The sequence below is a fragment of the Homo sapiens genome, chromosome 20 (assembly GCF_000001405.40).
Source record: "Homo sapiens chromosome 20, GRCh38.p14 Primary Assembly".
Classification (NCBI taxonomy): Eukaryota; Metazoa; Chordata; class Mammalia; order Primates; family Hominidae; genus Homo; species Homo sapiens.
The window spans coordinates 11,614,384-11,631,131 of record NC_000020.11 but is presented as its reverse complement, the minus strand read 5'-3'; the positions used below and the strand labels follow the sequence as shown (position 1 = coordinate 11,631,131).

Genomic DNA, 16,748 nt, shown 5'->3' with positions numbered 1-16,748 from the left:
AGACAAAGAAGTAGTCCCAGTGAGCAATGGCAGTGAGACCAGCAGGCCCAGTGATAACCCAAAGGCATAGTTTGACAGTTATATGCTATGAAAAACGATTTTGGGGCCACCATAACTCACCCCAAATGTCCCCATTCTTGAAAGCACCACCAACCAAGGGGTTATCTTTGGGTTCAAAGGATAGCATTACTGATATGTAAAAGGGCTTTAGCCAATTCAGGGAATAGGCACTATATATATAAATCTAAAATAGTATAGTCCCTGAGAAATAATATGACTTTTAGCACATAAAAACTTTCTGGATTCTGAGAACAAATGTCGCCAGCTGAGGTGAAATTACATATTTCTGTAGTTTGGTTCAGTGTAAGAAAGTTTGTAAAATAAACTATGGGACTATGACCCCATTTCACAACCTACCCACAATAAATTCACCTGAGAAATTCCCCCAAACAATATCAGCTACTAAAATCCCTTAGATAAAGTGACCTTCTTTGGTAATCAGATGTTATTATTTTTAGGACATGTTTTTCAGGATGATTTTCTGGTTTTGGAATAAAGAAAATTATTTTGACCTTTATTTCCCTAAGTTTTTAAAACACACACACACACACACACACACACACACACACACACACACACACACAGAGAGAGAGAGAGAGAGAGAGAGAGAGAGAGAGAATCCAAAAACGATTCCTAGCTGTAAAGCAGACTTCAGAGGAACTTCAGCTGTAGGCCTTATTTTGTACTGACTAGGCAGTAAATAAATGGTTTTGATCCATGTTGAATCTGGCAATCATGATTTTTGTGCTTTGTGTTAGATTTCAGATACAAATGTGTGCCTTTTTGAATGTTAAACTCAACTGCATTCCTTTTAGATATCAGGAAAAACACTGCAAAAACAATATATTAACACCTTAATAAAAACCCAATTACTGGGAGTACGGGGAGGTTTATATTTAGATTTTTTGATTAAAAAAGTCACTTGGGAGCTCATTTTGGCGAAAACATTTTTTAAAATAAAAATTCTCTAAAATCTATCACTTTAATAAGTACATTGTGGTGATACATTTACACCCTTTTCTTCTAATATAGTGAAGGACTGTCAGGTAGAAGCATATGGGTTTGATCATAATTTATACTCATCCCAAATTGTTTCTCATAAAATTTTGGACAATATTAGTAATATATAGCCCACACCTACATAATAGTTTCTATGTTCCAGTTACTTTTCTGAGTTTCATATGTTACATCTATATGTGTATGATTACATATGTGTATGTTAATACATTTAATTCTTATACCACCTTAAGAAACAGGTAGTGTTATTAACATCCCCACTTTACAGATAGGGAAACTGAAGCACTGAGAAGCTAAGTAGCCTGGTTAAGATTACACAGCTAGTATATAGAAGAACCAGGGTGGGAATCCCAGCATTCTTGCCCCAAAGCCTCTGTTCTTAATCATCACACTATATTTCCCTAAGGCCAAGTTGGTGTGTTCTTATTTAGCTTTTTCTTAGGAGGGAAATACTTAAATCAACAACAACTTCTGTATAATGGAGGTGCTGTGACTTGCTAGTGTGAAACCCAGTGCATAGATTACCTCCCCTTTTCTCTGCTAATCAGCTTCAGAACCTTGGGCAAGTTACTTTGGGCCTTGGGATTCTACTTCTTGCCATAAATTAAGGAAATCAATCTAGAACTGAGATGTCCAATGTGGTCATTTCCAGCCTTACGAGATTTCTGGGCTCTGAAAATGTGGCCAGTCCAAATTAAGATTGCCGTACACACCAGATTTCCTGGAATTAGTATTTAAAAAGAATGCAGAAATATCTCATATGTTTTTTTGTATTGATTCTGTTGAAATGATAATATTTTGGATATATTGGGTAAAATAAAAATATTATTAAAATTAATTTTATCTGTTTCTTTTTACTTCTTTTGATGTGACTACTAGAAACATTAAAACTATATACATGATTTAACTTTGTGGCTCACATTATATTTCTATGGGCTTGTAGTGATCACACTAGCAATTCTTCATCTACAAGTGCATTGACATTTCCAAGTGAAACACTCCTACTGGAAGAATGCAGGGAGATGCACGATTCCAGGAACATGAGTTCTAATGTCAAGATTTTTCTCACATGCTGAAAAACAAAACAAAACAAAAACCGTAGAATGCAAGAGCATGACATTAACATTATAAAAGTAATTCAAGTCCACTCCAAGCCATTTTAAAAAGTTAATTATTTGCAAATGTTGCTATTTGTCATTAGGAGCAAATTATTTGGTTGCACTTCAAACCTAAGTAGCATCCTAGTGTGTCAAGACATTACAGTGTTTTAGAATTCTCCTTTTTTTTTTTTTATTTGAGACAGAGTCTCGCTCAGTGCCCAGGCTGGAGTGCAGTGGCGTGATCTCGGCTCAGTGCAAGCTCCGGCTCCTTGGTTCATGCCATTCTCCTGCCTCAGCCTCCTGAGTAGCTGGGACTACAGGCACCCGCCACCACGCCCAGCTAATTTTTTGTATTTTGTGGTTCTGTTCCATGAACCAAAACCCAGCTGTCGAATTTCTATAAGATTAAAATGGAAAATAAAGATGCAAAAGTAGAACACATACCTGTTTGTAAGTTGGAGGACGTCAGAAGCACTGCTATCATTTTTTCCCTTTTTGAAGATGAGCTAATGATCTTTGCATATGTAAAGCTGTTTGCCTTAGAAAAGCCTTTTTTAGCGAGTTGGTCCTGGCTATCTCTGGAAAATTGGCTGTTAGAAGTTTCTTTCATTATTGGATTATTTTGTTCACCAGGGGCACAGATCCCCTGCTTTCCTTTTTGAGGCTGCCAACAGTGAACTCACTGGAAAAAAAAGAAACAGTCAAGGTGACAAGACTAAATGGCCCAACCAGCAGCACAGACCTGGCATTCCTCTTGTACATTTGCAGTTCTGGTGCTGGTTTTGCTCACCTTCACAAATAGTCTTGTTTCCACCTGCCCTAAGGTGTGGCAATAGCAACTGTCCTTCAAGTTTCCACTGTCAAGCTTGTTGGAGGTGAGACATCTCAGGCAGGTGCTAGGTGAAGCCTGGGGGATAAGCTGGGAGTTTGTTTTCTTCCCTGCATCATGGAAGTTGGATGATAAAGATCAGCTCCAAGTCAAAAGTGATACTTCTTGATAACTTATTGCCTTAAAGGTGTTGTAGATTGACTCACGCAATATAGAAGGAGGTAGTGGTCAGAAGCAGGGGCATAGTAACCTTAAAAGGATTTGATTATTAAATTTTCTTTAGATAATCTTGTGAATTTTTTTTTACTAAGTCCATGCAGTATACTATAAATGTATCTCAGGTAAAAGCTAGATTTACTGAATAAGGGAAAGCCATAGCCAAAGAGAATGAAAACCATTTGAGAAACTCATTTCTTCCCCTACACCTCCCCTCCCATCCTTCAGATAATAAGCCATAATAAAAACTATGGGTCATCTAAGCCCTTAGCTTTCTGCTCTCAGGAATTATTATCATAATACAGTGGTTCCCAAAGTGCCTTGATTCTTTGCAACATGCCTTTAGTGAAAGGCCAAAAGAAAATGGCTTTAACATTGTTTTTGGATTGAGATCCCTTCATGTATATGAAAGCATTCTTAAAACTACGATTTTAATTTCTTTTTATTTTAGCCAGAAGTACAATTAAAAGTGCAGTGTACAAGTATAGTGGTAGAGTCTCTTAAGAAGCATAGTCTTCAATCACGTCAGCTCCTGAAAAGAGTGGACGATCTTTCTCTTGTGGACATACATGGTCTCTGAAGTTTATCTGTGATCCCAGGATCGGCACCATTAGCATCACCTGGGAATTTAGAAGTATGAATTCTTGGGTCTCATCCCAGACCAACTAGAAACTCTGGAGGTGAATCCCAGCAAACGATGTCTTGATAAGCCCTCCAGGAGATTCTCATGCACATTAATGTTTGAGAACCTGTACTGTAGTAGACACTGGGGGGACCAGGCTAGATTCCCTTTACCAGCTGGTACAGTCATCTGTGAGCATTGCCACTAACAGTTCACAGCTGTAACCTTCTCCAAACCACCTTGGTTGAACCACCTTGCCCACCTTGGTTGAACCACCTTGCCCAGAGATGGAGACCCTTTGGAGGTTTTTCCATAATCACCACTCTGGAGCCTGGCCAACAACTGACTGGCCTGGGGACGAAAAACCCAGCCACCTGTTTTCAAGGTAGGACAACGCTGCAGTGTGACTTATGCTCCAGAGCTCTTCCATGGAGTCAGGCCAAGGTTACACTTTGTTTAACTCATGCCATATTCTTACTCAGATCTTTGCTTTCCTTGTCTTACTGCCTCACTGCCTTGAAGGTTTCACCTGAGAGTCCTTCCTCAACATATGACGTATACCCAAATCCTTGCCTCAGCCTCTGATTCCAGGGAATCTGCTTACTCACATCACAGTTCAGAAAATTACAAAAATTACTGCTAACAGGCCACCACCTGTTTGCATAAATGAAGTTTTCCTGGAAAACACCTGCGCCCACTATTTACAAACTGCCTGTGGCAGCTTTTGACCTATAACAGCAGAGTTAAATAGTTGCCACAGAGACTGTATAGTTCACATAGCCTGAAATACTGAAGGAAAAGTTTGCTGATTTCTACCCAAGACATGAGACAAGCTCAGAGAGACAAAATCTAGGAGGGACCAAAACACGGTATGTATTAAGTCTGTGTTGTAAGCAGTGTTGTGCTGGAACTGAGTGTGCGCATCTTCATCTCTTTCCAGCTCTCTATGTAACAGCACATTGGTAGCTTGATATCACCCCATGATGGAAACATTTCCACTATGGAAATGGAAATTGTCAAATGCTACAAATATATATATATGTGTGTGTGTGTATATATATATATATTTCCTGGAGAGTCAGGTGTTAAGCATTTACCAGCATACCACTGGTTATAAGCCAGATATCTTACACACTTAAGCATGTTGCAAAGAATCAGGATCCTTTAGAGAAAGGCAAAAATAAAGTGGAATTCACATTGTTCCTGGATTGAGATCCCTCCACGTATATGAAAGCATTCTTGAGACTGTGATTTTAATTTCTTATTTTAGCAGGAAATGCAATTAAATGTGCAGTGTACCAGTAGTGATAAAGTCTCCCAAGAAGCATAGTCTTCGATCACATCAGCTCCTGAGGATAGTGGATGATCTTTCTCTTGTGGCCATACGTGGTCTCTGAGGTCTATCTCTGTGTTACCTTCTAGCAGTCTATGCTGTCCACCAGTTCCCTCTGAGACGGGACCACTTGTTCAGCTTTCTGAACAAGTCACTTCCTGTGTTCTTGTGGTCAACCTTGGTACTCACAGTTTTCCAAACAGATTCTCTTGGGCATCTGTTTGGTGTTAGCATTTCCAGAATTGGTACAGCTCTAAATCCCTCTGTGTTCCCAAATACAAGATCAGCAGCCTTGTATTTGATCTTCCTCCTAGGAATGGCTAATGGCTCTATCTGGTTAGTATTTTAAGTTTGAGGGCATTATGGAGGTTTTTATCCTCCTAAAATAGGAAAGGGATAGAAGAGGATTAGGGTCCACATAAATTTACTTTTGAGAATTTGGTAGCCAGCCTGTAAGATGACTCCCTAATGGTCTCCTTTTTGTTATTTATGCCTGTGTGGTTCCCTCCCATATGAAAATACTGTAACCAGTGGAATGCTGCAGAAATGGCAGTGAGTGACTTCTAAGAAGTCATAAAACACATTATGGCTACTGCCTTGGTTCCTAGGATCATTTATCCTGATGGAAGCCAGCCACCATGTCTTGAAGACACTCAAGCTGGTCTATATAGAGGCCCACAGGACAGGAACTGAGGCCTCACCAACAGCCAGCACCTCAGAAGTGGATCCTCCAGCCCCTGTCAAGCCTTCCAAAGACTGCAATCCTAGCTTCCTAAGAAGCTCTTGAATTCCTGATCCAAAAATACTGTGTGAGATAATAAATACGTATTTTGTTTAAGCTACTGAGTCTTGGGGTAATTTGTTATGCAGCAAAAGACAACTAACACATGTAATGTTTATCCCCTTTGATAGCAGTTCACGATCAAACAAAATTTGAAATCGTCTAAATTTAAAACCAGTAAATCCCAACAGTCACTGGAGTACAAATCATTTCTACTTGTTTTGCTTGCATAACTAAAAGCATTTTTGACTCAAGAGCCAAGAAAATCATACTAACACGTAAATCCTCAGATATGTGTTACTGCCTCACTACCTAACAGAACACAATAATGTACCAACTTGCTACTCCAGGTTAGAGGTTGCAATTTTGCTTAATGATTTTGGCTTGCAACTGATTTTCTTTAATCATAGTATATTATTTTACCATTGATTTCATCTGAAAATGTTCTTCCTAGCATTGGAGTCCTAACAGGCACTTATCACACAGCTAAAATTCCCCATGAGTTGGTAACACTGCAGCAAGCCCTCTGCCCTCAAGGCCGTCTCTTCAGATTTGGCCTAGATAATAAATTGCTTTGTTTTCCTCAGAAGCCCTCAAGGTGTGCTGAAAGCCCAGTGTGTTTGGGCTTCCACCCTAATTATTGAGCACACAATTCATTTCCCACTTTTGTCAGGTTGCCCAAGAGGTTACAACTAATTTCTGTTTATCATGTTCTGTACATTTTTTTATCCTAATTTGACCTTTTTCTGTAATTGGAACTTTGACTTAATTTTGCATCTTTGCTCCCCCTTAAAAACAACTGTACTGAGAGGGAAAGAAATTGAAGTTTCTTTAAAGCATTTTTTAATTCATGAATATTATTAACCCTTTTAAATTTTCTATCCTGTTTGTAAAGGTGATCAGTTTACTTCGTAGGAGGCAGATTTTCTCAACTTTTAGAATGATGTGGTCTATGATGCAATTTTCATGTGTGATTGTAGACATAAAAAAGTCACCAGTCACTATGACCTCTTAATAGAAAACATCCTCATAATGGCAACTCCAATTTGGTACCTGTCCTGAAACTTCAATGTAAGAACAGACTCTCTCTCTCTCTCCTGGGTAGAGAGAAGTATTCTCTGGCAAAAGTTGGGGATGAAAATATGTTTTCGGATCTTCCTCTTTATGCCCCTTTCCAGCCTTCTCTTGCCCCCTCCTCCTCCCTCTGTAGGGTCTCCCTCTTCTCATAGCACCCACAGAGGCCCTACCCAGACCTCATGTGCACCCCTAACCTACGCTTTCGCATGTCATCTTCAAATCCATTCTTCTTGCCTTAGAGCTGTGGTTTGTAAATGCTCTTTATAGTGAGATCCTATGAAGTTTTACACTCTCCTTCAATAAACGGGTAGATAAAAACAGTGTTGTTTTATTATACATTTATTTGCAGTTTCAAATATGTTAGGTTTACTTACTGTAAATTCAACCAAGAGTTTATTGAGGATGTTGCCTAAACACAGATACAACACCAAAACTTACTGTTGGCATTCAGAGTCTTAAGCCAACCTTGTCATATATTTTTTTCTCATTTTGTAAAATATGTTTTGCATATAGAGTTAAAAAATCCTGATGCCAACAAACAAGTTGCTGCAAATGGTAACAAGTTCATAAGTCACTTTGAAATATTAAAATACACTTCAAACAAATATGTCTATAATTTTGAAAATGGAATAAAAATTTAATTTCAAAATAGGAATTATTTTAAATATCTAACTATCCAATTATTTTAATTATTGAATTTTAATACACATCCCTTTTGGAGGGGTAAAAATGCTTTTTAAATACATTCAGTAACATGAGATTCAGCAATTCACTTAAAAAATTTTCTCATTGCTCATCTTTTCAGAGATTTACTCAAGATTTCAGAAAAATCAAATTATATCTTTTTTACCTGGCATGCAACAAAATGTTTTATATTTTCTGAAGTCCAGATCAAGTTCATTTAGCCCAGCAAGGCATCGAAGGTTGGGCAGCTATGTTGACTTGGAGGTGCAGTTGGATAATCTCTTTATACTTCAGGATTCACTGACCCCATCCAACATTATCTCCAACTATGAAAGTGGGGCCAAGCACGGGGGTCAGTCTCAAAGGAAGTACTGTCATTTTGCTCTCACTGTTGTGTCCTCTTACCAGTGATAAGCTCCAGGCCAGGGAAAAGTCAATGAGGTGGATAGAACCCAGCTTATATGCACTCTGGGATTCAGTCCCTTCCTCCTCTCCACAACTTTGTTACCTTCATCCTCTGCTCTGGCACCTCCACTCTTCTTACTCAGGTCTATTAAGTCTTGGGCATATGGGGCTTCACTTCAATGAATTTCACCCTATTATTGTACACAGTGTATAATCCAGATAAAATTACAAGAAAAGGAGCACCTGTGTGCATGCATGAGGCCATGGTTCCTCACTTTCTATTCACAATTTATAGATAAAGATATATAGCATGTGTATTTCAACAGAAATATTCTTTGGAACCCCTCACCTTAGGGCTGCCTATGAACACCTGCAGGTATGATAACATTTGGACATCATCATTCATGTTATTTCAGAGAATTCACAAAGATCTAATTGGAAAGGCACTCTTATAAAATTACATTTGTGTTATCATTCAACACTTTTGACAAGTATTGGCATCAAAGTTAGTGTTAACCTCTCTCGAACATATTTCAGCATTTTTTAAAATGCATATTACTCCTTTATTATATTGATCTGGAAAAAAGGTTTAATACAGTAATTCTCAAAATGAGTACTAGGCCCATGTAACAGGGCCAAACCCCTAGAACATGATTCAGAAATCAGATAGTGAAAGACACACGTGGACATGATCAAGAGGCATTTCACTGCCACGAAACAAGGTTGGAAAGGGAATGTAAGGTTCATAGCAGAATGTACTCCAACCCCTAGGAGGTCAAGATGCTTATCCCATATGAGTGTGAGGAATGGCTCATTTTCTCATGACCACATGTAGGACTCTTTCAACCAACACTAAAAGCTTAAAAAGGGGTCATTTTGTGTGTGTGTGTGTGTGTGTGTATATCTATATATAAAATATAAAAATACTTATATACCTATATAAATATATAATACTTATATAATAATATAAGCATATATGTTATTACATATTATAAGTATATAAACTATATATACTTTTATAATATACTTATATAGGTATATATATTTATAAAAATAAATGCTATGTATAAACTGAAATCAGGATTAATCCCAACCTTCTGAAGACTTCTAGAGCCAGCTTCTCTGGGGTCAGGGAGAAAATGGTTTTCACATCATCATGCAGGTTACATTTATTACATTTATCTGGAGCCAGCTCCTCTGGGGTCAGGGGGAAAATGGTTTTCACATTATCATGTAGGTTACATCTATCTCCATGGGAATGACTAGATCTTTTCTTTGATTTGACTACAAAGAGTACCGGACTGGCTCTGGAGAGCAAATAGGCTCTCTTGATTCTCCTCATTGGTCATGCCTTAACATGATTCCTTCCTGTTTCCTACTCAAGCAGGTCTTTAGTAAACATAGCACTGGCAGAAACCTGAGTTATAACCTTTCAATTCTCTTGGGTAAGGGGAGATTTCTTTTGGCTTGGACTGAGAACCTATGCCCCAGAGGTGCTATTCTGACTACAGCGTATGAAGGGAGTGGGTGCAGATTCTCACAGGAGGGTAGCTGATCTTCGGTGAAATCTGCATACCTGGAGTCCTCATTGACATTGCTATGGAAGAGATGGTCAGGCTCCATGAGAGGGGGTGGGACATCATAGGAGGGCTTGAGACCTTTTCCTGGGCCTCACCATGCTTGGCAGCAGCTTCTGCTTTATTGAGGTTAGTCAGTTCCCCCATAGTGCTGAGGCGCCAAGTCCTTGCTACAAGCCACCATGTCTAGTCAATCGCATCCAGCACTGTTCAGATGGTTCAGATCACTCTCTTCTGCACCAAGGTGCAGCAGATGTCAAACTCATAGCCAGCATCTTGCAATGCCTGCCTGCTGCACTTCACTCCTTATGGCCCAAGCGGTTCCCCAGGTTCCAGGCACTCTGGCCATGCTGGATCTGCACCAGTGTGTAGGCAGCCATGGTTGCAAGCTGGGGACGTGGTGCTGGCTGGGAGCAATGTTTTAATGAAATTCTCTACTCCTGTCATATTTTGTGCCTTTTCTTCTTCCCCTTCAGTCTGGGTACGCTGACATATAGAAACCAAATTATACGATGGCACTTTGAAAATGGATATAAACATTTAGCAATACATCCCCCTCCCAAATTTCCAGTGTTTCTAACGTAAGTCTTCTTGATGTTTATCTTCAAAAACACACCCTCAAAAAATACTCAGATCGCTTAAAAAATAAAGTCAAGATGGCCATGGGTCAGTCCTTTTTGTGTTCAATCAAATTAAATTTAAAATGATTACAAACTCATTGATCAAATGTTGGATAAAGGCCGTTGCATGCTCCCTGTTCTCATCAGGCAAAGGTACTGACGGCATTTTGTTTCTGCATGACTCTGCACCAGAGTAGCCTGCCCTTCTGTTTATTCACATTTAGTGACACCTTTGAATGATGCCATAGTGTACGTTATTCTTAAAAATGTCAAATCTATATATGTATTTTAATCTTTGGATCTAAACTTCGCTTGCATACAGTTTTTATATAAAGCCCTGTAATTTTTATGCTGAAAGAAACCAAGATCCTTATTTTTCTACTCACTATGTTTGCTTTAAATATGGCATTGTAAGTTGGAAAGGGATACAGAAAATGTGGAAACATATCACTCCATAAAACACAGGAGCACTTGGGCACTTTTGCCTTATAAAGGTGAAGCCACATGCCTAATAATTATTCTTGTGCTCTACTGTCTCTGAGAGACTCATCCCAAGAATTTTCACAAGACTTTTGTTTCATACTCTCCCCAGTGGGACCCCCTTTGGCTGAAAAACCAGTTGCTATTTACATAGCACAGTGTGTCAATTTTTCTTGTGCCTGCTCAATCTCTCCATTCTAGCAGCACAGTTCTTTCGGCTTTTTTCTTTCTTTAACCCTTGATCCATTTCTTGTTTTGAGTAATCCTATCACCTTTACCTGAAATACTACGAAAAATGTATGAGTATAAATCATAGACCAAACACTTAACATTTATAAAGATTAAAACTCTGACATCAGCATGCTTAAATGTATTCTGTGTTCACTTACTGAATCATTTCATGTTCTGGGCGCAGAGACTGCTATTCATGGACTTTCCTGGCACATAATTGAACGTGATGAGTATGAGCTTCTGTTTGGAACTCAGGTGTACAATTTTATGTGTGCAGAAATGCTTACTCCTGCAAAAAGCCATCGGAGCAGAATTTAAATCTTTCTTGTCTATGACCTTCTTCCAAGTTCAATAGATGCAGAGGTATAGTGGAAAACTATTAGAAGTCAGCACAAAGCCTAGTTGAAGTGGTAACATGGCTTAAGTTGGTTGTCTCTAATGTGTTAAAAATTTGGGCTGTGACACATTTGAATATGTGGGTTGTTAAAATACAGCTTTAAAATATTTTAAAAACAGAATTTGAATCAAACATACGCTTGCTTTTGCATATTCTGAATGCAGTTTGATAACCATTGCTTTAGAGCAACTCAGCTCCCATTAGTTCAAATTCAATATTGATATGTGAATGGTTGAAAACACATTAATTTTCTTATTTTAAAAATAATGCTTGCTAACTTAAATACAGCTCAAATTGGTAGCACTGAAGGAAGTATAAATGATTCTCACCTCGAGATTATAGAAGGATTACCTTATGAGCCGGCTAAAAATGTAGTCTTGAGCTCTATGTCAGTAAATTCAAAGTCAGTAAATCTGAGGTTGACCCCAAGTTCGCATATTTTTAGAAGTGATTTTTAAATCACTAGGGGTTCTGATACAAGTCATACATGCATTATATTTTGCAAAACGGAACTGGAAGCTCCAGCTATCTGAAAGAAAGCTGGTGATGGTCAATTTCTCCCAAGAGCTGTTTGAACTGTTTGAATGTTTTTCCTGCTAGTGCCTCTGGTTCACTTCAGACTTTGCTGTGAAATAGGAAGTTTGGGCCGGGCGCGGTGGCTCACGCCTGTAATCCCAGCACTTTGGGAGGCCGAGGCAGGTGGATCATGAGGTCAGGAGATTGAGACCATCCTGGCTAACAAGGTGAAACCCCGTCTCTACTAAAAATACAAAAAATTAGCCAGGCGCGGTGGCGGGCGCCTGTAGTCCCAGCTACTCGGGAGGCTGAGGCAGGAGAATGGCGTGAACCCGGGAAGCGGAGCTTGCTGTGAGCCGAGATTGCGCCACTGCAGCCCGCAGTCCAGCCTGGGCAACAGAGCGAGACTCCGTCTCAAAAAAAAAAAAAAAAAAAAAAAGGAAATAGGAAGTTTGAGTTACTATTGCAGAGTTCTTCCATTTGTTTTGCCAAGATTGCTGGCAGTGGCCTTTAAAAACGGCAGGTATTGTAAAATCCAGAGAAACCTGGTAAAGTTAATTAACTTTTATCACCACAATTTTTCCCAGCTGTCAATTAACAGTATTTCCGCAAGCAGAAATTCTTCCTACACGGTAGTAATTCTTTTAGCCAGAGTAATGGCAATAAAAATTTAATGTGTTATTCTGTTTTACTAAGCAAACTTTACCAGCCACCTATGGTGTTGTCACAGAACAACACAGATGGAACACCCTTGGGAAGGTCTCTGTCAGTGTTGGTGTTGGGGTGCAATACCGATGACATGCCAGGAGCTTGTGCACTGGAGTACCAGCTATGCTGGGAGTCTTCAGCCATCTTTCGCCAGCTAACTAGACAAAATCTGAGGGAGACGGCTGCCGGGATTCACCCTCTCTATTCCATTACCCACTGCCATTTTGAATGTCTTGCTCTCTTCATTTGAGTTTCCCTAGGAGCAAACCATGAAGCTTGAGTGCACGTTGTTTAGTTGGGACATGCACCAGGAGAGTAAGAACAGGAGATAGGACAGAGAAGAAAGTCAATACAGGAAAGTGGATGTGTTATCAAGAAAGTCAGCACTGCAGGCAACTGGAGCTGCATTGGAAACTCTAGGAGACAGTGACGTACAAGCCTTAGAGTGCTCCTGACCAAGGATTGAGTAAGCGGTACATATACATCAACTTCCTGTACTCAACAGTAATGGCTGCTTCTGGGACCTGTTGTATCTTCCCTTTTATGCCAGTGGAGCAGGCTCGCTGGTCAGAGAAAAACAAACAAACAAACAAACAAAAACACAAAATATCCTCAGGCAGAGAAGCCTTGTTTTCAGTAAGGAGCCTTGAAAATGCAGAGGTGGGGGCTGACGGGTATGGATGCAACTAAATGGCAAGGGCTACACTATGGACCACACTGTTTTTTCCCTAGACTAGAAAATTGCTAGTCCCGGGGACTTTCTTTTTCTCCCAAACGATGAAGCTTCTGCCCGATGCACCTTTTTGCCTAGACATTGCCGACATTTTGTTGTTGTTTCCACTGTATTTACTCTATAAACCTGTAGCCCTGCATTGAAACCTGTGTTCCGATTCCTATGCTGGGAGACTCTGAATTAATTTTTCCTCTCATTTGAAGTAATAAAGTCCACTGTTACAACTTGAAGTTTGGCCATGACTTCAAGTCTGGATCACAGGAGTTCGAGTCATGTCCAGTCTTTTAGAGTTTTGCTTCAAATATGGACCAGAGAGTATTATTTACTACTATGCCATTTGTACATGTATTTTTCTTGAGGCCCTCTTAGGGAGGGATGATTACATGAAGACTGTATTTGGGTATTACTGAGTAGCTAACCCAATGTCACCTTAATTTCATCTCAAGTATTGCCAACAAAGTGTAGACTCAAATTATTATCTTCCCTAGCAACCTGTTCCTCCCCATACATCTTGGTCAATGGTGCCAATATTCACAAAGTCACCAGAATCAAAAAGTTGAATGCATCCTAGAATCTACTATTAAAGCCTTTCTGTTAAATTGGTTTTGCATATTAAATCTCAAAATATATTTGGGATCTATCTTTTCATTTGTATTTTTTCACCACCATGTTGCTTTGGCATCTTAGCATCTTTCATGTAATTGTTGCAATAGCCATTCTAGCTTTATGGCATCTCTACCTGCCCATTCCAAATTTTCCTTCATCTCAATCCTAGTGATGTTTTTCTTATAAAGCTATAAAATTCTTTATGTTGATGAAGTATTTAAAAATAACAAGTACTTATCTATTCATCTTTTACTTTAAAATGTGTACTAATGGAGCTGCATTCTCCTAATCTATCCTTGATCCCCCACTTGAAACTGTTTTCCTGAATTTTAAATTCTTGACTCCCGTGTGCGTGTAAGAACTTCCACACATATCTTCATAATTTTTACTACATATGATTGTATCACAAAACAGTATATGTTTTTGTTTTGTGTGCTTGCAAGTCTTATAGAATTTATGTTGCTCTGAGTATATTCTGTAGTTTGATTTTTTTCACTTAATATCTTCGGAGATTCTTTTATCTACGTGAGTATATTTCTAGATCACGTATTTTCACAGCTTTAAAATGAAATGAAATGAAACAAAATAATTAGACAATGTTACATTGATGGACATTTATTTCTCTTAGTTTTATATTACAAATCATGTTGCAGTAATAATCTTTGTTCCTGTCTCCTTTCTGGCTGTGCATGAGACTATCTCAGGGATGCTTACATGAAGCTGCAGTCACTGGATTGAGGGGTAAGAATTATTAACTTAACCAGAATTATGAAATTGCTCTCCTAAGTGGTTTTCTACATTTAAGTTCTATCAGAATAATGTGAGAGTTTCCACTGATTCACAGCTTTACCAGCATCAGCTGTTGTCTGGTAAAATGATACACAGTTTTAATTTTTATTCACACTGTTTACTAGTGATATGAAGAATCTTTTAATACGTCTTTCAATTTGAACTTCTTTAAATTCCTTGCTCATATCTTTGAGCCCATGTTTAAAAACTGGGTAATTTTAATTATATTCATCTTAAGATACACGCATAGGTAGAGATGGATATACCCACAGGCAAAATAATAGCCTTTGCATATGTTACCCTACATAGAAAAAGTGAATTTGCAGCTGTGATTAATTAAAGAACTTTGAGATAAGGATATTATCCTGAATTATCCAAGTGGGCCCAAAGTAATTACATGAGTCCTTAAAAGCAGAAGACCTCTTAAGGTCAGAGACCATAAGGCTGATTCTCTTTAACTGTGCGACCAGTGGAAGCAGGCGTGTGTGAACTTGGCACAGATTGAAGGATCTGCCCTGTTGAGGTGGGAGGGCCTGACTGTTGTCCCCCACGGTCCTAAAACTTGGATGGACTCAGATAGTGAGAGAGGAGGCCTGGACTGAGATGTGAGTCCTGTTGAAGACTCCCTCTCTACCCCCAACCTTGGTCCCTCTCAAATACCCACTGGAATTCCAACTTGAAGGATTGCATCCTGCTGGGACTGAACGTGCCTGCCAAGGATGTGTCTTACCTGTGTTCCTGGCTCCCTTGTTCAGAGACTGCCCTTCTCAAGGGCTCTGTGTCTGTGCTGGGAAGGAAATAACTATGGGAAGGAAATCCATGTGTATAAACTGCTGTCAACAAATGGAACCCAGACCTTCCGGCTCAAAAAAAAAAAAAAAAAAAAAAAAAGATGTCAGAGAGATGAGATAGATGGAAGAAGAAGAGATTCGAAGCATGAGAGGAACTTAACCCATCGTTGTTGGCTCTGAAGCTGGAGGTAGGAACGTGGATGACTTTCAGAAGCTGAAGACAGCCGTCAGCTAATAGCCAGCAAGGAAATGGTCATCTCAATCCTACAATACAAGGAACTGAATTCTGTCAATGACCTTAATAAGCAAAGGAAGAGATCTCTGCTAGAGTTTCTAAAAAGGCATGTAGCCCTGACAGCACCTTAATTTTATTTCATTTTATTTAATTATATATATTTATGGGGTATGACATGAAGTTTTGATCTATGCATACATTGTGGAATGATTAAATCAATCTAATTAAAATATCCACCAGTTCACATACTTATCATTTTTGTGGTGAGACCATTTAAAATGTATTCTCTTAGCAATTTTCAAATCTTGAGCACATTATTATAAACTGCAGTCACTGTGCTGTACAATGTATCTCCAGAACAAATTCCACCTGTCTCACCAAAACTTTGTACTCGCTCACTTACATCTCACCTTTTCCTAAATCCCCAACCTCCAGTCTCTGGTAACCACCATTTTACTCTCTACTCCTATGAGTTCAACTTTTTTAGAGTTCATATATAAGGGATCATGCAATATTTTCCTTCCTGTGCCTGGCTTATTTCACTTAGCATAATGTCCTCCAGGTACATCCACGTTATTGCAAACTACAGGATTTTCTTATTTTTAAAGGCTGGGTGAATAGTATTCCACTGTGTATGTATATGTGTATGTGTATAATATGCACACACTACATTTTCTTTATCCATTCATTACTTGATGACACTTAGGTTGACTCCATATCTTGGCTACTGTGACTAATACTGCAATAAACATGGCAGTGCAGATATCTCTTCAATATACTGAATTCATTTCCTTTGGGTATGTACCTAGGAGCGGGATTACTTGATCATATGTTAAGTGTATTTTTAATTTTTTGAGAAACATCTGTATTATTTTCCATAATTGCTGTAATAATTTACATTCCCACCAACAATGTACAAAGGTTTCCTTTTCTCCATATCC

At 38.9% G+C, this 16,748-nt stretch overlaps 1 pseudogene; it reads right to left on the bottom strand.

Annotated features, from left to right (window-relative positions):
* Window positions 9,657-10,016, bottom strand: PGAM3P (phosphoglycerate mutase 3, pseudogene; annotated as a pseudogene).